The sequence below is a fragment of the Homo sapiens genome, chromosome 20 (assembly GCF_000001405.40).
Source record: "Homo sapiens chromosome 20, GRCh38.p14 Primary Assembly".
Lineage (NCBI taxonomy): Eukaryota > Metazoa > Chordata > Mammalia > Primates > Hominidae > Homo > Homo sapiens.
Window position 1 is genome coordinate 3,934,312 of NC_000020.11, and position 22,040 is coordinate 3,956,351.

The following is a 22,040-nucleotide window of genomic DNA, read 5'->3' on the forward strand; positions in this document are numbered from 1 at the left end:
AAGGAGCTCCCCTCCTAGGTGGTGAACGGATGTCACCCCCTGGAGAGAGGGAAGAGACAGAGAGAAGGAGTGGGGAGAGGCCAAGGGGTCAGCAATCCCCTCTTCCTTCCAGAGCCTCCCATCTTCCACGTGTGAAGCCACAGATAGTATGTGATACTCTCAGTTACCCATGACTTCTTACAAGAACAAAATACACTGAGCAGGGATGTGAGAAGTAGGAAAATAAATTTTTCTAACAGAAATACAAAACAAAAAATTATAAGAGGAAGAATATTAATATGTCTGCAGGAAGTGGGAGGAGAGTGCCCCACACTACCATTTATATCCAGACTTTATTTTGATTTTAAATAACTATGGTTTTGATTTAAATAAGTTTTTAGGAGATGAGGCTCTCAGTGGAAAGTTCCAGCTAAATAGCTGTTTATTGCTTGGGCTCCAAGTGTAGGCTCATTTTGGCTCTCTGCCCATAGTCCTGACGTGGTGGTCACGTTCCACCACTCTGCTGTCTCCTAATGTCACGCACACACACACACATCCCACCTGTAGGGTGCTGTCAGCTTTCTGCATTACAGACCAATCATGAAGCCATCAAGCTTGTCTGGCACTGCCCTAAAACCCAAAAGAAGTTGGTTGATGTGCCTCAAACTCGGGTCCCATTAAGTAATTCCATACCAATACTTACTTTCTGTGGAAGGCGTGCTTACATGGGCAAATCCCCAACTCATCTCGAGGCTTGAAGTCTTCTAGGCACACTGCACAGAGCTGAAAGACAAATGCACAAATGAAGCCAAGTGTCTGTTAAGTACCCTCCCAGGTACAAAGTAGAGTGCAGGCTCCTAAAGGCTCAACCGTTTGAAGGGACTCATGAGACTCTTATCTTAAAAAAAAAAGAAATGAATGAATAAATGACTGAAAAGAAACAGGCCAAAATAGATGAATGTCTCCTGCTCTTCCTGTCCCATATCTTCAAGGAGGTGGGCAGATGGGAGAAGACAGAAAGCAAGAGGCAGCTGCCTTTACTTCAGTGCATCAGAAGTGTGGGACCGAGGGAGGGTTACTCTCACATCTGCCAGCTTAGCCTGCTGTCCCTTTCCTGGTGTGCCGAAAGAGCTGAGGCTCTCTGGGTTCTCCACCTTGTCAGCAGCACAGCCTGGCTCCCAAGCACTCACTGAAAGGGACCGCTCAAGCCCTGGCAATCTTTTCTCCTGTTTTTATGCACAGCTTGCAGTAACATGCTATTTATAGTTCCTGGGGCCTCCCACTTTGGCACTGTCCTTCTGTCAGTGTCTCTGTCATATAAAAAGTTACTGAAGACTCAGTTAACTCATGAACATGTGCAGATGGGACCAGGACTGCTCTCAGCCAATGACTAGTCTCCATGGCTTGGAGAGAGGCCTTTGCCATCGTACCCAGGGGCTGGGTTCCAACACTTTCCTGGGCATTCACCAGGGCCCGTGGATACCATGTGTCACCACACTGACCCATTTTACCGATGAGGAAACAGAAGCTCAGGAAAATAATGTTGCTTGAGGCCATTTAATTGGAGAGTGGCCAGGCCTGGCTGGGACCCAGGTCTGTTGCACTGATGTGCTGTTGTGCCATTGCTTTCTCCTGCCCAGTGGTTGAACTCCTTTCTCCCTACTTGCTTCCCTGTCCATTCCCAAGGATCCTGGTTCAGGCCATCACCATTTCTAGCCTGGACTGTTGATGGCTTTGCTGTTACTAGTTTCTTAACCTATAACACGTAACCCAGTCTTCTTAGATTATGTAACATGATCCAGGCAGGACATGTGGCTCTTGGTGCCCAGTGAACCGTGCCATGTTGGTTTTTAAACATCCTTGCTGAGGTAGCTTTCAGGGCCTTGTGTGTATGACAGACAGGACCTTCACAGGAGGAGAATGGATAACTGTGCTCTGTTGGACTCAGCATCCCTACCAAGATGGCAGGGGAGCAGGGAGGAGAGCAGGACAGGTGGCTGGCCTTGGCTCAGACACACTAGCTGTGTGGCCTCTGCCCTCAGGATTCCTCACAGAGCTCTGTTCCTTCATCTGTACAATAAGGACATGGCCTGTCCCACCCTACACACGGCTGTCATCAGCTCAGCTTGGGGGGTAGGGTTAAGGACACAGTAAGGCAGTCTACCAATGCCAGCTGTTTTTATTGATGTCTACATTTTATAATGGAAGTACTGTTTGCAAGCCCATTTTTGTCCTCTGAAGGGAGGCTGAGAACAAGCTGTGGGTAAAGGTAAAAATCCAGCAGTTTCAGCCTAGTGGTATCTTTTTGGGCCTCAGCTTCCCACCTGTAAAGAGGGAATGATGCTCCCATCTCCTAGACTGTGTGATTGGCCCTCTGGCCTTCAACAGCCAGTTTTCCTCTCAGCCCCGCCTTCCGACACAGGGTCAGGACTGTCCTCTGGAGATTTAGCACTGATCCTGTTGAAGCACAGGTTGGATGAGTTGCTTATTTTTATTCACTTATTTTTCCAGGATCCAAAATTAGATTAGTAGCCTTTCCAAACAGGAGTTTCTTTTTTTCTTTTTGAGATGGAGTCTTGCTCTGTCGCCAGGCTGGAGTGCAGTGGTGCGATCTCAGCTCACCGCAACCTCCGCCTCCTGGGTTCAAGTGAGTCTCCTGCCTCAGACTCCCGAATAGCTGGGACTACAGGTGCATGCCAACCATACCCGGCTAATTTTTTATATTTTTAGTAGAGACAGGGTTTCACCATGTTGGCCAAGATGCTCTCGATCTCTTGACCTTGTGATCCGCCTGACTCAGCCTCCCAAAGTGTTGGGATTACAGGTGTGAGCCACTGCGCCCAGCCCCAAAATGGAGTTACTATTAATGGTATAATGTGCTATTATGTTCTGAATAAACAGATCCTAAAACTATAGCCACCTGAGAAAAAACAAGACAAACTCTGACACGTTAAATGCTAAAGGTGACCAAAGTCAATGGCAATCACAAAAAGAGAAAAGCCTCAGATGACTTCCTAGAAGCTCCCTAAGAGCCAAACTCATTTTACAACTTTCCTTTACAGTTCATATTTTGCAAATAAACTTTTGTTTCCAGTATTCAATGAGATTGTTTCTCCAGTGTGACTTCCCATCACCATTAAAAAACTGAGATACAATTAATCTACTATAATATTCACTCCTTTAAGTAACAGTACAATTCAGCAGTTTTTAGGTATATATGTGCAGCCATCTTTACAATCTAATTCCAGAACATTTGCATCAAATGCCACCCACCCACCCCCCAAAACAAGCCCATATTCATAGGCAGTCATTCCCCATTCTCCCCTTTCCCCAATCTCTGGCAACCAACCACTAATCTACTTTCTTTATTGATGGATTTGTCTACTCGGGACATTTCATATAAATGGAACCATACAATATGTAATATTTCATGTTTGGCTTCTTTCCCTTAGCATAATGTCTTCAAGGTTCATCTATATTGTAACATATATCAGTACTTCACTCATTTTCATGGCTGAATAATATTCCACTGTATGTATGTACCGCATTTTGTTTACCCATTTATCTATTGATGGCCACCTGGGTTGTTTCTACCTTTTGGCTATTGTGGACAATACTGCTATAAACACTGGTGTACAAGTATCTGGCTGAGTCCTTGTTTACGTTCTTTTGGGTATGTATCAAGGAGTGGAATTGCTGGGTCATATGGTAACTCTATGTTTACCTTTTTGAGGAGCTACCAAACCGATTTCCAAAGCGGCTGCACCATTTTACGTTCCTACCAGCAGTACGTATGGGTTGTAATTTCTCCATATCATCACCAATACTTATTCTTGTCTTTTTTACTATAGTTATCATAATGGGTGTAAATGGGTCATTTCCTTAATGACTAATGATGCCGTGCTTATTGACCACCACATATCTTCTTTGGAGAAATGCCTATTAAGTCCTTTGTCAATTTATTAGTTGGTTTCTTTTTATTATTAAGTGGTAAGAGTTCTTTATATATTTTAGACTGAACTCCCTTATCAGATAGCCAACTAATTTTGACAAAGGTGCAAAAAGCATTTCAATGGCAGAAGGAAAGCCTTTTCAACAAATGATGTTAGAGCACTACACATTCATAGACACAAAAGACACACGCAGCCTAAGCAGAAACACAACCTAAGCACAACCAAAGCACAACCTAAGCAAAGAAACCAAAGGAAAAAATGGATAAACTGGACTTGATCAAATTAAAAAACTTTTGTTCTACAAAAGACCCTGTTAGGATGAAAAGACTGGGAGAAAATATTTGCAGACCTTTTTATTTTGCAGGCTTCTTATTACTGAGTTCTAAGAGTTCTTTATACATCTTAAATACAAGACCCTTATCAGATATAAAACTTGTGAATACTTTGTCCCTGTGGGTTGCCTTCACTTTCAAGATAATGTCCTTTGAAGCACAAAAGTTTTTAATTTTTTTTTTGAGACAGTCTTGCTCTGTCACCCAGGCTGGAGTGCACTGGTGCCATCATAGCTCACTGCAGCCTCAATCTCCTGATCTCAAGCAATCCTCCAGCTCCTCAAGCCTCAACCTCCCAAATAGCTGGGACTTACAGGCACACATCACGACACCCAACTAATTTTTTTTTTTGTAAGTAGAGATAAGGTCTCCTAGCTATGTTGCCCAGGCTGGTCTCAAACTCCTGAGCTCAAGCAATCTTCTCGTCTTGGCCTCCCAACGTGTTGGGATTACAGGAGTGAGCCTCCATGGCTGGCCTGATGAAGTTTAACTATTTTTTCTTAGCTTGCTTGTGCTTTAGATGTCATATCTAAGAATCCATTACCCAATCCACAGCTATGAAGATTTATACATCTATGTTTATTTCTCCTTTTTGTTTTTTAGAGACAGAGTCTTGCTATGTTGCCCAGGCTGGTCTCAAATTCCTGGACTCAAGGGAGCTTCCCCCTCAGCCCCCTGAGGAGCTGGGATTACAGGCATGTGTCATGGCACTGGGCTCACCTATGTTTATGTCTGAGAGTTTTATAATATTAGCTGATACATTTAGGTCTTTGATTAACTTTTGAGTAATCTTTGTATATAGTATGAGGTAGATGTCTAAATTTATTCTTTTGCATGTAGATATCCAGTTGTCCCAGCACCACTGATTGAAAAGACTATTCTTTTCCCACTGAATTGTCTTGGCACCCTTGTTGAAAATCAACTGACCATAAATGTTTGAATTTATTTTTGGACTTGCAGTTCTATTCCACTGATCTATATAGCTATCAATATACCTGTGTCACATGTATTAAAAACTGTAGCTTTGTATAGTAAGTTTTGAAATTGGAAAGTGTGAGTTCTCTAACTCTGTTCTTCTTTTTCAAGATTCTTTTGGCTATTCTGGATCCTTTACATTTCCATGGGAATTTCAGAATTCATCTGCTTGTCAATTTGTGCATAAAAGGGCAGATAGGATTTTGAAAAAGATGATTTGGTAAATACTTTGGATATTACTGCCAACTTACCAATATTACATTTTCTAACCAATGAACATGGGATGTCATCCCAATTATTTAGGTTTTATTATCTTTTCAACGTTTTATAGTTTTCAGCATATAAATCTGGGCTTCTTTTGTTAAATTTATTCCTAGGTATCTTATTTTTGATGCTATTACAAACGAAAAAAAAATTTTTTTTTTGAGGTGGAGTTTCGCTTTTGTTGCCCACACTGGAGTACAATGGTGTGATCTCAGCTCACCACAACCTCTGCCTTCTGGGTTCAAGTGATCCTCCTGCCTCAGCCTCCTGAGTAGCTGGGGTTACAGGCATGCACCACCACACCCAGCTAATTTTGTATTTTTAGTAGAGACGGGGTTTCTCTATGTTGCCCAGGCTGGTCTTGAACTCCTGGGCTCACGCAATCCTTCCACCTTGGTCTCCCAAAGTGTTAAGATTATAGCTGTGAGCCACCATGTGCGGCTGAATGAAAATTTTAGAACTCAAACAACAGAATAATCACAATAAAAAAACTTAATGGATGGGCTCAACAGCAGAATGGAGGGGATAGAGGAAAGAATCAGTGAACTAGAAGACAGAACACTGGAAATTACTCAGTCTGAACAACAGAGAAAAAATTACTGAAAAAAAAAAAAACTCTCCAGGACTTGTGGAACAACAACAAAGGGTCTAACATTTGTGTCACTGGAGTTCCAGGAGAGAGAAAGAGTGAAATGCAGAAAAAACATTTATAGAAATAATGGCTAAAAACTTCCCATGCTTGGCAAAAAAACCTATATATTTATGAAGCTGAGTAAACTGCAAACAGGATAAATCCAAATAAATCCATGCCTAGACATATCATAAATTGCTGAAAACTAAAGAAAAAGAAAAAAATCTTAAAAGCAGCCAGAGAAAGTGATACATTACTGGTAAGGGATGAATGATTCAAGTGACCTGATTTCTCATCAGAAATCATGGAGGGCCAGAAGGAAGAGGCATAAAAACTGTCAACCTGGAGTTCCATATACAAGAATATTCTTCAGGAATGAAGGTGAAATAAAAACATTCTCAGATGAAGGCAAACTAACAGAATTCATAGCCAGAAGACCTGCTTTAAGAAAATTACTAAAGGAAAGTTCATTATGAAGATAAAAGAGAAATGACATAAGAAGGAAACTTGAAACACTGGGAATGCATAGCAACAGAAATGGTAAAAACCTGGATTAATATAAGGCTGTTCCTCCGTGAAGGTTTTCTTATTTTTTTGAGACCAGGCCTCACTCTGTCACCTACGCTTGAGTGCAGTGGCGCAATCAAGGCTTGGCTCACTGTAGCGTCGACCTCCCAGGCTTGGGTGATCTTTCCACTTAAGGCTCCTGAGTAGCTGGGACTACAGGTATGTGCTACCTGTAAGTTTTTGTATTTTTTGTAGAAATGGGGTTTTGCCATGTTGCCCAGGCTGGTCTCGATCTTCTGGACTCCAGGCAGATGCCTGCCTTTTGAGTTTTTAAAAACATGTCTGATGGGGAAAAGACATATAATGATGGGATTTTTCAATGTATATAGACGTAATATGATAGATATTGCACAAAGAGGGGAAGGAAAAGGGATCCATATTGTGGCAAGGTCTCTACAATCCAACTAGAGTGTTAAAAAACTAATTCTAAATATTTATTTGGTAATCCCTAGAGCAACCACTAAAAAACTATACAAAGACATAAAGTAAAAATCACAACAGATAAATTAAAATGAAGTACTAAAAAATGTTCTAATAACCCAAAAGAAGGCAAGAAAAGGAAAATAGAGAATGAAAAAGAGAGAGAAAAGCAGAAGACAAAAAAAAATGGTAAACCTAATTCTAAATGTATCAGCAATTGCACTGAATGTAAATGATCTATACATACCAATTAAAAGACATATTGGCAGAGTGGATAAAGAAACATGACCCAACTATGCTGTCTACAAGAAAACTCACTTCAAATATAATTCAATGGGTAGATTGAAAATAAAAAGATGAAGCTGGGCATGGTGGCTCACGCCTGTAATCCCAGCACCTAAGAGGCCGAGGGGGGCAGATCACCTGAGGTGAGGAGTTCAAGACCAGCCTGGCTAACATGGTGAAACCCCATCTCTACTAAAAATACAAAAATTAGCTGGGCGTGGTGGTGGACATCTGTAATCCCAGCTACTTGGGAGGCTGAGGCAGGAGAATTGCTTGAACCCAGGAGGCGGAGGTTGCAGTGAGCCAAGATTGTACCACTGCACTCCAGCCTGGGCAGTAGAGCTAGACTCTATCTCAAAAAAGAAAAAAAAAAAAGAAAAGAAAAAGGTGGAAATACACATACCATGCAAACAATCAAAAGGAAGCTGGAATGGCTATATTAATATCAGAAAAATATTTTTTTTTTTTTGAGGTAGGTTCTTGCCCTGTCACCCAGGCTGGAGTACAGTGGCACAACCTTGGCTCACTGCAGCCTAAACCTCCTGGGCTCAAGCAATCCTCCCACCTCAGCCTCCTAAGTAGCTGGGACTATACATGTGTGCCACCAGGCCCAGTTAATTTTTTTTTTTTTTGCAGAGATGAGGTCTCACTATGTTGCCCAGGCTGATCTTGGACTCCTGGGCTCAAGCAATCCTCCCACCTCAGCCTCCCAAAAAGTTGGAATTACAAGTGTGAACCACCGTGTCCGGCCTGGACAAATATATATATTTTTTGAGACGGAGTCTTACTCTGTCACCCAGGCTGGAGTGCAGTGGCGTGATCTCAGCTCACTGCAAGCTCCGCCTCCCAGGTTCATGCCATTCTCCTGCCTCAGCCTCCTGAGTAGCTGGGACTACAGGCACCCACCACCACGCCCGGCTAATTTTTTTGTATTTTTAGTAGAGACGGGGTTTCACCATGTTAGCCAGGATGGTCTCGATCTCCTGACCCTGTGATCCGCCTGCCTCGGCCTCCCAAAGTGCTGGGATTACAGGCGTGAGCCACCGCGCCTGGCCTGGACAAATATTTCAAAGCAAAGGAATTTACCTGGGATGAAGACAGTTTTTTTTTTTTTTTGAGATAGTGTTTCATTCTTGTTGCCCATGCTGGCGTGCAATGGCACGATCTCAGCTCACTGCAACCTCTGCCTCCAGGTTCAAGTGATTCTCCTACCTTAGCCTTCCGAGTAGCTGGGATTACAGGTGTCCATCACCGCGCCTGGCTCATTTTTGTATTTTTGGTAGAGATGGAGTTTCACCATGTTGGCCAGGCTGGTCTTGAACTCCTGACCACAGGTGATCCTCCTGCCTTGGCCTCCCAAAGTGCTGGGATTATAGGTGTGAGCCACCCAGCCCGGCGAGAGACCTTGACAAAAGGGTCAGTTCACCAAGAAGATATTCAATGTGTATACAACTAACAACAGAGCTTCAAATAAATAAATAGACATAATGTATTCACAGGTCAGAAGACTCACCATGGTAAAGGTCAATTCTCTCCAAACACATTTATAGAGTTAATGCAATATAAATCAAAATCCCAGCAGGATTTTTTTTTTTTTTTTGTGGATACAGATGAGCTGATGCTACAATTTACATGGAAGGGTCAAGGAACCAGACTAGCTAAAACAATTTTGGAAAAGAATGAGGTTGGAAGAATCACACTGCCTGATTTTAAGATTTACTATAAAGCTATTAATAATCAAGACAGTGTGGTACTGATGAAGAAACAGGCACACAAATCAAGAGAATATAATGGAGAATCCAGAAATACAGTCACAAAAAATATGGCTATTTGATTTTTGAAAAAGGTGCAAAAGAATTTCAATGAAGAAAGCAACTCACCATAACCAAAGCTGGGGATACTATGGTGAAAAAAATCCAAGACTAGATACAAATGACCAGCGAAACAGGAATTGGTGGGTGTAGTTGGATACTAACTATGATACATACTGATGCAACACACAATGTATTTATTCAGGACAAAGTTTCTAAACTAACAGGTCACACCAGTAAGGAAGACTTCTGTTCTGGATTAATCTGGTAAAAATTTAATCTTTTCATTTACGGTCATCAAAAAGACTCCAAATGGGAAACAGACCACTTTTATTATTTCATGTTAATTTTGGCCATGTGTCAAAATTAACTTCTAGGAAAAGTAAAAAATCAAACAGTGGCCGGCTGCCGTGGCTCACGCTTGTAATCCCAGCACTTTGGGAGGCCGAGGTGGGTGGATTACGTGAGGTCAGGAGTTCAAGACCAGCCTGGCCAACATGGTGAAACCCCGTCTCTACTAAAAATACAAAAATTAGCTGGGTGTGGTGGCGCATGCCTATAATCCTAGCTACTCGACAGGCTGAAGCAGGAGAATCGCTTGAGCCCAGGAGGCGGAGTTTGTAGTGAGCGGAGATTGCACCATTGCACTCCAGCCTGGATGACAGAGTAAGACCCCGTCTCAAAAAAAAAAAAAAAAAAAAATCAAACAGTAATTAATGCTTCAGTTTAATCCAAGGCTAGGTCTAAAATGCCATTAAACAGAAACATATCAATTCTTTGATGAAAAATATGCAGAAAGAGCAAAGGACCAATAGATGATTTCAAAATATTTAACAATAATATGATTATTTTTATTATGATTCAAAAAACCTAACAAATTAACTTTCTTTGAAGAGACTGGCAATTTAGCTTCACCACAGCTAGGCTATATGCGACACTGCTATTACAACACACAGCTTTTCAAGTCCTTGCTTTAAACACCAATTAGAAAACCCAGAAAGGGAGAAGGAAAGGGTGATAAAAAATAAAAATTCTGAAAGTTTGTAGTCAGAGGCAACACAAGAAATAGAATGAAAAAGAATTCTTATAGGCTATGTATCTTAATGTATACAGCAGGATATACACACCCAAGTTTGTACTTAAGTTACAAAGCACCTATGTCCCAACCATGCAACCGAAGAGCTAAACAATCCCAAGGATTCATATCGCTACCTGTGTGTTCTTCCCCTGTTCCGTATGTCTTACCTTCTTCAATCCCTACCCCCATGAGATAACTGCTCTCTTTTTTGTACCATTGGTAAGAAAGAAATATTGGGAACATTTTCAATGGGGAAATTAGTACATACTCACCTTGAGTAGAAAAACTAACGTATCTGTTTCCTATTCATACAGCATGGACGGCAAGCAGCATCCCTACTGCTATGAAATTTTATAATGGTGTCATCACTATTAAAAGTATGAGTTATATTACTCTCGTAAAGCCTTCACACAATTGATTTTTATGTGACCTCACCCTGAAATATTCTATTACCCCAATCAAAATAAGCCTATTTTTTTCAACTACTGAGAATAAAAGTGTTTAAACATACCACAGCATACCACTGCTACTAGAAAATGGCTCAAGAGGATTTACTTATCATCAACTTACCTCATGTAAATTCAATTCTTTTACTTTCTCTTTTAATATAACCTGTAAGACAAAAAAGTATGTTCTTATGCCCATTTAAATCTGTAACTTTAAATATTTCTCATTATATTCTCAAATATTTTTCTTTTGTATATATGGCTCATTTCCCTCATATTCAATATTGAAGGGAATTTCTTTTACAGTTTGAGACAGATCATTTTAGCAACATTTTTTTAACTTGAGCAATGATGCAATATTCTCCTAAAAAAGGAATTTTGGCCGAGCATAGTGGCTCACACCTGTAATCCCAGCACTTTGGGATGCCAAGGCGGGTGGGTCGCCTGAGGTCAGGAGTTTGAGACCAGCCTGGTCAACATAGTGAAACCCTGTCTCTACTAAAAATACAAAAATTAGCTGGATGTGGTGGCGCCTGCCTATAATCCCAGCTACTCGGCAGGCTGAGGCAGGAGATTCACTTGAACCCAGGAGGCGGAAGTTGCAGTGAGCCGAGATCGTGCCATTGCACTCTAGCCTGGGCAACAAGAGCGAAACTCCGTCTCAAAAAAAAAAAAAAAAAGTAAGTCAATCTTAATTTTGAAAGTTTTGACTCCGTGGTGACCAGACAGTAGTTAAAATGAATGCCAAGTGATAAGAAGGAAGTTTACTATTTAAGAAAAAACTCTGAGACTAAATATAGCTTATTAGAGTTATATTTCATCTTAAAGTGAAGAAAATAGGCAAGTAAAATTTGAGGGAAAATCTCTAAATTTTGGTGTCTTACATTCCTGAACTAAAAATGGATTTGAGGGTAAATCCTGTTTTCAGAAATCACACCAGAAGCTACTATAAGGCCTCACAGGGATATACTAAATTTCCTATCCAGTATATTTTAAAGATCAAATTTACTGTATGTCTTGTGACTTGTCTAGTTTTATCAGTCAATTTCACTTAAATGACTGCAAAGGCCAATTTTACTTTCTAGTTAGCCTACATACAAATATCTTGTAAGCTGTCAAGATTATAATACGTGGCCAGGCACGGTAGCTCATGCCTGCAATCCCAGCACTTTGGGAGGCCGAGGTGGGCGGACTGCTTGATCCCAGGAGTTTAAGACCAGCCTAGGCAACATGGCAAAACCCTGTCTCTACAAAAAATACAAAAATTAGCCAGGTGTGGTGGTGCACGCCTGTAATCCCTGCTACTTGGGAGGCTCACCTGAGCCCAGGAGGCAGAGGTTGCAGTGAGCTGAGATTGCACCACTGCACTCCAGCCTGCGTGACAGAAGCGAGACCCTGTCTCAAAACAAAACAAAACAAAACAAAACAGATTATGATAGGAGTCTGGGCAACATGGGGAGACCCCATCTCTACAAAAAGTACAAAAATTAGCCGGGGGTGGTGGTGTGCGCCTGTAGCCCCAGCTATGCATGCCACCACACTCAGCTAAGGTGGGAGGATCACCTGAGCCCAGGGAGGTCAAGGCTGCAGTGAGCTGTGATCATGCCACTGCACTCCAGTCTGGGTGACAGAGACCCCGTCAAAAAAAAAAAAAAAAAAAGATTATGATAGGACTGAGACAAAAAGATTCATTCATTTAGAAAACTAAAATACTCAACTCTGATTTTGGATCCCACATGAGACCTGTAAGAGTGTGGGGTTACCTAAGGACATCAGTATGTCCATCTAGGGAATGTGCCAGTGAGCTCAGATTTCAAACATACATGGACGAAAGATGAACAGAAAGATAAGCAGTCCTGGCTGGGCGCGGTGGCTCACACCTGTAATCCTGGCACTTTGGGAGGCCGAGGTGGGTGGATCACGAGGTCAAGAGATCAAGACCATCCTGGCCAACATGGTGAAATCCTGTCTCTACTAAAAATACAAAAATTAGCTGGGCGTTGTGGCAGATAGATGGCTGTCGTCCCAGCTACTTGGGAGGCTGAGGCAGGAGATCACTTGAACCCGGGAGGCGGAGGTTGCATTGAGCTGAGATCTTGCCATTGCACTCCAGCCTGGCGACAGAGCGAGACTCCGTCTCAAAAACAAACAAAAACAAGATACGCAGTTCTGAAGTGTTACAGTTCCATAACATCAGCGTCAGCAAGGTTAAAGACTCAAATAAGCTGAAGCTCCCCTGTACCCAAGAAGAAAGCTAAGGGTAACAAAAATTAAGAATTTCATGCTTAGAGCCAAAGGAAAATCTAGGCCCCCTGTTTGGAAGAAAAAAATAATTTTACTTGGCCTTTGAGAAAAGATAAGTGTATTAACTTAAAGACAAAATCAGTGAAGGACTAGGTATTGACAGCTATGATCCAAGTTTGCAGACTTCTAGTGGATAATATGAGCTAACATTTAAAGTACAAAAGGGAGTAGATGAGATCACTGTAACACAGCTGGTCGCTCACCTCCGAGGAACTGCTATGTCTTCTAATAAAGAAGGAAGGAAAAATTTCACTTAATGGTATCTCAGAACTCCATTAAGTCGACAGTAACTTTAAGAATTACAAGCTATAGCATTTCTCTTTAGCAATCTGTTGGCTCAAGTTTCCTGTTAAATTATATCATCTGAACTTTCTACAGCTTCAAGTAATGCTTACAAAAGAAGAGAAAAGCTGGGCACAGTGGCTCACGCCTGTAATCCCAGCACTTTGGGAGGCCGAGGCGGGCGGATCACCTGAGGTCCAGAGTTCGAGACCAGCCTGACCAACATGGAGAAACCCCGTCTCTACTAAAAATACAAAATTAGCCAGGCGTGGTGGCGCATGCCTGTAATCCCAGCTACTTGGGAGGCTGAGGCAGGAGAATAGCTTGAACCTGGAAGGCGGAGGTTGCTGTGAGCCGAGATCACGCCATTGCACTCCAGCCTGGGCAACAAGAGCGAAACTCCGTCTCAAAAAAAAAAAAAAGAAGAGAAGAATACTTAAGAAAATGAAGTTGATATATTATACTGCAAATTGGCAGTGAGATGCTAAAATGAACACAAGTAAATTCAGTCCCAGTTTAACGTATGAGTGGAAATCAGAGTTCTCAGTTTTTTGGGGGGAAAAAAAAAATCAAAGCCAATCTGAATTAAATTTCTCACCTGTTTGTAGGCATAAAATTCTTTGTGTGCTTGATGTCTTAGCCTAAAAGACAGAAATTAGTAATGCAATATTGAGATTTCCAACATAGTAACTTGAAGAAAAATAAAAAGTTGCTGATTTTGGTATTAATTTATAACATTTATGGCTCAAATGATATAAATTAGAATCTTTACCCTGAAATACACCCAAATGATGTATCTCTTAACATGCTATGTGAAAGTGCCCAGGGAACCATGAAATGTTACCCAAACGTAAGATGACTCAATTCTTTTTATACCGACAGTCTACTTATTTCAATAATATTTATATTTTTTCTTAATTAGAAAAAATTTAAGTATAACATACATCCAATGAAGTATAAAAACCTTAAGTATACAGCTCAAAATCTTAAAAAATGTACATACCAGGATAACTGTTGCTCATATCAAGACATGGTACATTTCCAGCACACCTGAGCCCTCTAAAATGATCCTTCCTAATCAATATCCATGCCCCAGAGGTAGCACTATCCTGATTTCTAACACTGTAGATTAATTATGCCTGTTTTTGAACTTCATGTAAATGGATCGTTTGGTATATACTCTTTTGTGTTTGGTTTCTTTCAGTCTACAATGCCTTGTGAGATTCTTCCATATTGTTGTAGTAATTGTCTTTCTGACTGACATACAGTATTCCATTGTATGAATATAATACCATTTATTTATCCATTTTACTGCTGATGAATATTTAATTACTTCCTGTTTGAGGCTATTATTAAAGCTGATACACAAATTCTACATGTCTTTTAGTGGACATATATACTCATTTCTGTTAAGTATATACCCGGGAGTAGAACTGCTGGTTCAAAGTACTCACACCGAGGCTGGGCACCGTGGCTCACGCCTGTAATCCTAGCACTTTGGGAGGCCGCGGCAGGCGGATGGCCTGAGGTCAAGAGTTTGAGACCAGCCTGGTCAACAGGGAGAAACCCCGAATCTACTAAAAATACAAAAATTAGCCAGGCATAGTGGCACATGCCTGTAATCCCAGCTACTTGGGAGGCTGAGGCAGGAGAATCACTTGAACCCAGGAGGCGGAGGTTGCAGTGAGCCGAGATCATGCCACTGCACTCCAGCCTGGGTGACATAGTGAGACTTTGTCTTGAAAAAAATAAAAGTACTCACCCTGGCCGGACACAGTGGCTCATGCCTGTAATCCCAGCACTTTGGGAGGCTGAGGCAGGAGGATCGCTTGAGCCCAGGAGTTCGAGACCAGCCTGGGCAATAAGGCAAAACCTCATCTGTACAAAAAATACAATTAGCTGGGCATGGTGGCGTGTGGCCTGTGGTCCCAGCTACTCGGGAGGCTGAGGTGGGAGGACTGCTTGAGCCTGGGAGGTGAAGGCTGCAGTGAGCTGGGATTGTGCCACTGTACTCCAGCCTGGGTGACGGAGTGAGATCCTGTCATAAAAAAAAATAAAGTACTCATAACAATTTTACTTCTATGGGTAGTTTATGAGAGTTCTAGGTGTTCACATCTTTGTAGGTTAAGTCTGAAAAATTTTTAAATTTAAATGAAGTCTAATTTATCAACTTTTCCCAATTAGGTTAGTTCTTTTTATGTCCCATTAAAGAAATCTTTGCCTATCCCAAAACTATGAAGATATTCTCCTGAGTATGTTGTGAAAACAATTTGTTGTTTTACCTAACAAATGTAGGTCTATGATCCATCTGAAATTGGTCTTTATGTATGCTGTGAGGTAGCTTTTTATCCTCATATAGACTTTCATTTGCCTCACCATCATTTATTGAAAAGATTCTCCCCTTTCCCCACTGCACTGCAGTGACACATCTGTTGTAAATCAGGTGTATTGAATATGTCGGTCTATTTCTAGAGCTGCTATTATTCTGCTCCATTGGTCTATTTGCCTATCCTTGTATAGTGATGAATGTGTCCGCCTCAGCTCCCAATTCATGTCAAACTGGAACCTCAGAATATAACCTTATTTGAAAATAGGGTCTTTTCAGATTATTAGTTAGTTAAGATGAGGTTATATTGGATTAAGATGAGCCCTAAATTCAATTTGACTGCTATCCTTATAAGAAGAGGAGAGGATATGCAGAGACAGACGGAAAAGAAGGCCATGTGAACACAGAGACAGAGACTGAAGTGAGGCAGCTACAAGCCAAGGAATGCCAAGGCTTTCTGGTACTCACTGGAAGCTAGGAAGAGGCAAGAAAGACTCTCTCCTAGAGCCTTCAGAGGAAGCATGGCTCTGCCAGCACTTTACATTTGAACTCTTCTAGCCTTCACAATTGTAAGAAATTACATTGCTCTTGTTTTAAGTTACCCAATTTGTGGCACTTTGTTACAGCAACACTAAGCAACCAATGTACCTTGTGTCAATATCATGCTATTTTAAAAACTTTTATTTTGAAATAATTTTAGACAGAAAAGTTGCAAAAAATAGAATTCACATATACCTTTCTACCAGCTTTCACATTTATATAACCATAGTTGTATATACTATGTCCACATTTTATACAACCATAGTACAATTATCAAAACCATTAAATTAACATTGATATATTAGTATTGATATAACATTGATATATTATTAACTAAACTACAGACCTTATTTGAATTTTACCAGTTCTTTCTCTCATGTCCTTTTCCTGTTCTATTATCCAATCCAGGATCCCATCTTGCATCTAGTTATGTCTCCTTAGCCACTTTTAATTTTTTGTTTGTTTTTTGGAGACAGAGTCTCGCTCTGTAGCCCAGGCTGGAGTGCAGTGGCATGATCTCGGCTCACTGCAAGCTCCGCCTCCTGGGTTCACACCATTCTCCTGCCTCAGCCTCCCAAGTAGCTGGGACTACAGGCACCCACTAACATGCCCGGCTAATTTTTTTTGTATTTTTAGTAGAGATAGGATTTCACCGTGTTAGCCAGGATGGTCTCAATCTCCTGACCTCGTTATCCGCCTGCCTTGGCCTCCCAAAGTGCTGGGATTACAGGCGTGAGCCACCGCACCAGGCCAGCCACCTCTAATTTGTTGAGAGTTCCTTAGTCTTTCCTTGTCTTTCAAGATTTTGACATATTAAGTATGATCATTCTTTCTTGGTGGAATTTGAAGATTTCAATTTAAGATTGGTTAAGATAGTGTCCACTGGGTTTCTCCACTGTAGTGTATCTTGAGGGAGACACGCTGAAATTATACATATACTCTATTATTTTCTCAAGCTTTTGCCCACTGATTTTAGCATCCACCTTGCTTGCAATAATTACTGTAGTGTTTGCCTAAACTCTAATGGTGGTTTTGTAGTTCTCTAATTCCTTGCACATTTATTAACTGGAAATCTTCTATAAGGAAGAGATGTGCTTCCTCATTTATTTGTGCAATTATTTATTTCTATCAGTCTAGACTAATGGACATTGGTCTTAATCTATGGGAAGAGATGTGCTTCTTCATTTATTTGTGCAATTATTTATTTCTATCAGTCTAGACTCATGGATATTGGTTGTAATCTATGAGTTACAGTTCAATATGATCACTACTTTTTGTTGCTCAAATTGATTGGCCTTGAGTCCTTCAGGCTGACTCTTGTGTTCTTTCAACAAGCCCCCATCCTTTCCCATGCATTTCCGTATTTACTGGCACCAAAAGATGTTTGTTTCAGGCTCATTTTATATGTTCTGTGTTCCAGCCCTGGGGTTAGCCACTTCTTCCAAGGAACCCTAATTCCTTTTATTGGAGAAAAGTATTTAGAACTTGAGATCTGGGTGCTTGGTGAACAGCACTTTCTCTTAATACTGTTGCTTTAAAACAGGTTTTGGGGTCTGGTAGCAAAAGTCCTCAAGTTTTATTCTTTTGAATGACTGGCTTGGTTATTCTTGGTTCTCTGCAGTTCCATATAGATTTCAATTTCCACCAGAAAAAAAAAAAAACCCTCTTGGGGTTTTGAGTAAGAATGTACAAAATTCACAGACCAACTGAGGAAGAACTGACATCTTTGCAAGACTGAGTGTCTAACCTATGAACATTATTTCTTTATTTACAGCTTTAATTTTTCTCTTACACATTTCTCCTAGACATTTGGTAATTTTTGATGCTACTGTAAATAGTGTTGAAAAAAATCTTTATTTTCTAATTATTTCTTGCTACCTATATGGAAAAAAGTAATTTTTGTATATTGATCCTGTATCTGGTGGCTTGCTAATTCTAAATAGTTTCTCTGTAAAAACTTTTGGATTTTTTAATGTACACAATTATGTTGTCTGCATATAATCACAATTTAAACACTGCCTTTATAATCTTTATTTGCTTCTTTTCTAAATACACTTTTCTTTTATTCTTTTTTCCCGTTTTTTTTTTTTTGCACTGACTAGCTAGGCCCTCCAGTATGATGCTAAATAAAAGTGATAGTGAATGTCCCTATCAATACATCACTATTAAGTATGATGTTTTCTTTAGATATTTTTTGTAGATACTCTTTCAAATTTTAGAAAGTTCTCTTGTAGTACTAGTTTACCAAAAAAAATCATGAATAGGTATTAAATTTTATCAATGCTTTATGATATTATACTATTAATGTGCTATATTGTATTGATTGCTTTTCAAATGTTAAAATAACTCTCGTTCTTGGAACAAACCTCATTTGGTTGTAATATTCTACCTTTTTTGTAGATCCCTGAATTTGATTTACAATATTTTGCTGATGAAAAGGATCGGTCTATAATTTCCTTTCTCATAATATCCTTGTCAGGCTTTGAAATCACAATTATGCTGGCCTCATGAAATGAGCTGAGAAGTATTTGTTCCACTTTTATTCTCTGGAAGTGTCATATTGGAGTGGTATTTTTTTCCTTAAATGTTTGGATGAGTTACTTGGCTTAAAATATCATTGTGGGAATGTTTTAAAAATACATTCAATTTTCCTTTCTTTTCTTTTGGAGACGGAGTCTCACTCTGTCACCCAGCGTGGAGTGCAGTGCGTGATCTCGGCTCACTGCAAGCTCCGCCTCCTGGGTTCACGCCATTCTCCTGCCTCAGCCTCCCGAGTAGCTGGGACTACAGACACCCGCCACCACGCCCGGCTAATTTTTTTTGTAGTTTTAGTAGAGACGAGGTTTCACCATATTAGCCAGGATGGTCTCCATCTCCTGACCTTGTGATCTGCCTGCCTCAGCCTCCCAAAGTGCTGGGATTACAGCATGAGCCACCGTGCCTGGCCCAAAACACATTCTCTCTTTTTTTTTTTTTTTGAGACGGAGTCTTGCTCTGTTGCCCAGGCTGGAATGCAGTGGCGCAATCTCAGCTCACTGCCACCTCCGCCTCCCAGGTTCAAGCAAGTCCCCTGCCTCAGCCTCCCATGTAGCTGGGATTACAGACACATGCCACCACGCCCGGCTAATTTCTGTATTTTAGTAAAGATGGGGTTTCACCATGTTGGCCAAGATGGTCTCGATCTCCTGACCTCGTGATCTGTCTCTTTTTCGTATTAGATATATAATTATTCATATTTTCAATTTCTTGTAGTAGTTTTTTTTTTTTTTTGAGACAGAGTCTCACTCTGTCGCCCAGGCTGGAGTACAGTGGCACAATCTTGGCTCACTGCAACCTCCACCTCCCGGGTTCAGGTGATTCTCTTGTTTCAGCCTCCTGAATAGCTGAGAATACAGGTGTGTGCCACCACGTCCAGCTAATTTTTATATTTTTAGTAGAGATGGGGTTTCACCATGTTGGCCAGGCTGGTCTCGAACTCCTGACCTCAGGTGATCCCCTGCCTCAGACTCCCAAAGTGCTGGGATTACAGGAGTGAGCCACCATGCCCGGCCCCGGTTTTTTCTTTTTAAAAATTTCATTCTTTTATTTTTACTCACATTACAACTAACCGCCTTCAAGTATACAATTCAGTGGTAAGTAGTGTACTCACAATGTTGTCCATCTACCAGCTATCTCTAGTTTCAAAATTTTTCATCACTCCAACAAAACACCTGGTACCCCATTCACTGATCACTCCCCATTACCCCTTACTTCTATCCCCTGCAACCTCTTATCTGCTTTTTGTCTCTATAGATTTGCCTATTATGGATATATCATATAAAAGGAACAATGCAATATATGGCCTTTTGTGTATGGCTTTCCACCTAGCATGTTTTTGAGGTTCATCCTGGTTGTAGTATGTATCAGTACTTCACTTCTTTTTATGGCTGAATAATATTCCATTGTATGTACATACAATTATCCATTCATCTGTCGATGGACATTTGGGTTGTTTATACCTTTTGGCTATTATGAAACATTTCTGTACACGTTTCTGTGTGGACATATATTTTCATTTGTCTTGGGTATATACCTAGGAATGAAAATCTGGGTCACATGGTTTAATATTTTGAAGAACTGGCCAGGTATGGTGGCTCATGCCTGTAATCCCAGCACTTTGGGAGGCTGAGGCAGGTGGATCATGAGGTCAGGAGTTCAAGTCTGGCCAACATAGTGAAACTCCGTCTCTACTAAAAATACAAAAAATTAGCTGGGTGTGGTGGCAGGCGCCTGTAATCCCAACTACTTGGGAGGCTGAGGCAGGAGAATTGCATGAACCTGGGAGGCAGAGATTGCAGTGAGCCGAGATCGCGCCATTGCACTCTAGCCCGGGTGACAGTGCGAGACTCCATCTCAAGAAAAAAAAAAAAGAATTTGTTTGAAGATCCACCAAACTCTTTTTCACAGCAGCTGCATCATTTTGCATTTCTACCAGCAATATATGCAAGTTCTTATTTCTCCACATCCTCATTAACACTTGTTATTTTTCTGTTTTTGATTACAGCATCCTAGTAGGTGTGAAGTGGTATCTCATTGTGTTTTTAATTTGGAATTCCTTAATGACCAATAATGTCAAACATCTTTTCATGTGCTTGTTGGCCATTTGTGTAACTTCTTTGGAGAATTGTTTAAGTCTTTTGCCCATTTTTAAATTGGGTTGTCTTTTTGCTGTTAAATTTTAAGAGCTTTTAATATATTCTGGGTATTAAACCCTTATCAGATAGGACTTGTAAATATTTTTCTCCCATTCTGTAGGTTGCCTTATCACTTTCTTGATGTCCTTTGATGTACAAATGTTTCGCATGTTAATATCCAGCTTCCCAGTACCATTGGTTGAAGAAACAATTCTTTCCCCATTGAATGATCTTGGCACCCTTATTTGCATATCAATTTGTCATAGATGTTTGGATTTATTTCTGGACTCTCAATTCTATTTTATTGGTTTATATGTCTATCTTTATACCAGTACCACAATTTTTTGATTACAGTAGCTTTCTGAAGTTTTGAAATCAGGAAGTGTGAGTCCTTCTATTTGTTTTTCTTTTTCAAAACTGCTTTGGCTATTTGGGGCCCCAGTTCCAAATGAATTTGAGGATTGCTTTTTCTATTTCTGTAAAAAAAGGCCATTAGAATTTTGATAGGGATTGCACTGAATCTGTAGATTGCCTTGGAAAATATTGACACTGTAACTATATAAAGACGATATAAATCCATGAACATGGGGTGCCTTTACATTTATTTAGGTCTTCTTTAATTTCTTTCAGCAATGTTTTGTAGTTTTCAGGGTATAAGTCTTTCACTTCCCTGGTTAACTTTATTCCTTAAAATTTTATTCTTTTGGATGCTATTGTAAATGGGATTGTTTCCTTTATTTCCTTTTCAGATTGTTCATTGTTGATGCACAGAAACACAACTGATTTTTGTGTATTGATCTTAGACTCTGAAAGTTTGCTGAATTTATTAGTTCCAGTAGTTTTTTTTGTGTGTGTGTGGATCCTACGGGATTTTCTCTGTATAGGATCATATCATCTGCAAATGGAGATAGTTACTTCTTTCTAGTTAGATGCCTTCTATTTCTTTTTCTTGCCTAATTGTTCTGGCTAGAACTTCCAGTACAATGCTGAACAGTAGTGGTAAAGTGGGCATTCTTATTGTGTTCTGATCTTAGGGGAAAGCTTTCCGTCTATTACCAGAAAGTACAATGTTAAGTTGTGTGTGTGTTTTTTTTTTTTTAATAAATGCCCTTTCTTGTGTCAGTTTTGATACACCTCTTTTTTTGTTAGGAATCTATGTAATTCACCCAAAATT

At 40.4% G+C, this 22,040-nt stretch overlaps 1 protein-coding gene across 9 annotated transcripts in view, besides 1 other annotated feature; it reads right to left on the reverse strand.

Moving 5' to 3' along the window:
- The window catches only part of RNF24 (ring finger protein 24), an 88,248-nt gene that overhangs the window by 7,001 nt on the left and 59,207 nt on the right, over positions 1 to 22,040 (reverse strand). For all 9 annotated transcript variants that reach the window (NM_001134337.3, NM_001134338.3, XM_011529146.3 and 6 more), the window contains 3 exons: positions 13,926 to 13,968; positions 10,866 to 10,907; positions 683 to 762 (listed from right to left, as the gene is read on the reverse strand). In NM_001134337.3, coding sequence (NP_001127809.1) covers positions 683 to 762; positions 10,866 to 10,907; positions 13,926 to 13,968 — 165 coding nt within the window. The remainder of the gene's footprint in view (positions 1 to 682; positions 763 to 10,865; positions 10,908 to 13,925; positions 13,969 to 22,040) is intronic.
- Positions 1,949 to 2,098: an enhancer, noted in NCBI's record as "active region_17490". NCBI's record gives its function as "activates an Ori minimal core promoter by ATAC-STARR-seq in GM12878 lymphoblastoid cells {active_cell/tissue: GM12878}" and the evidence as "EXISTENCE:reporter gene assay evidence [ECO:0000049][PMID:35858748]".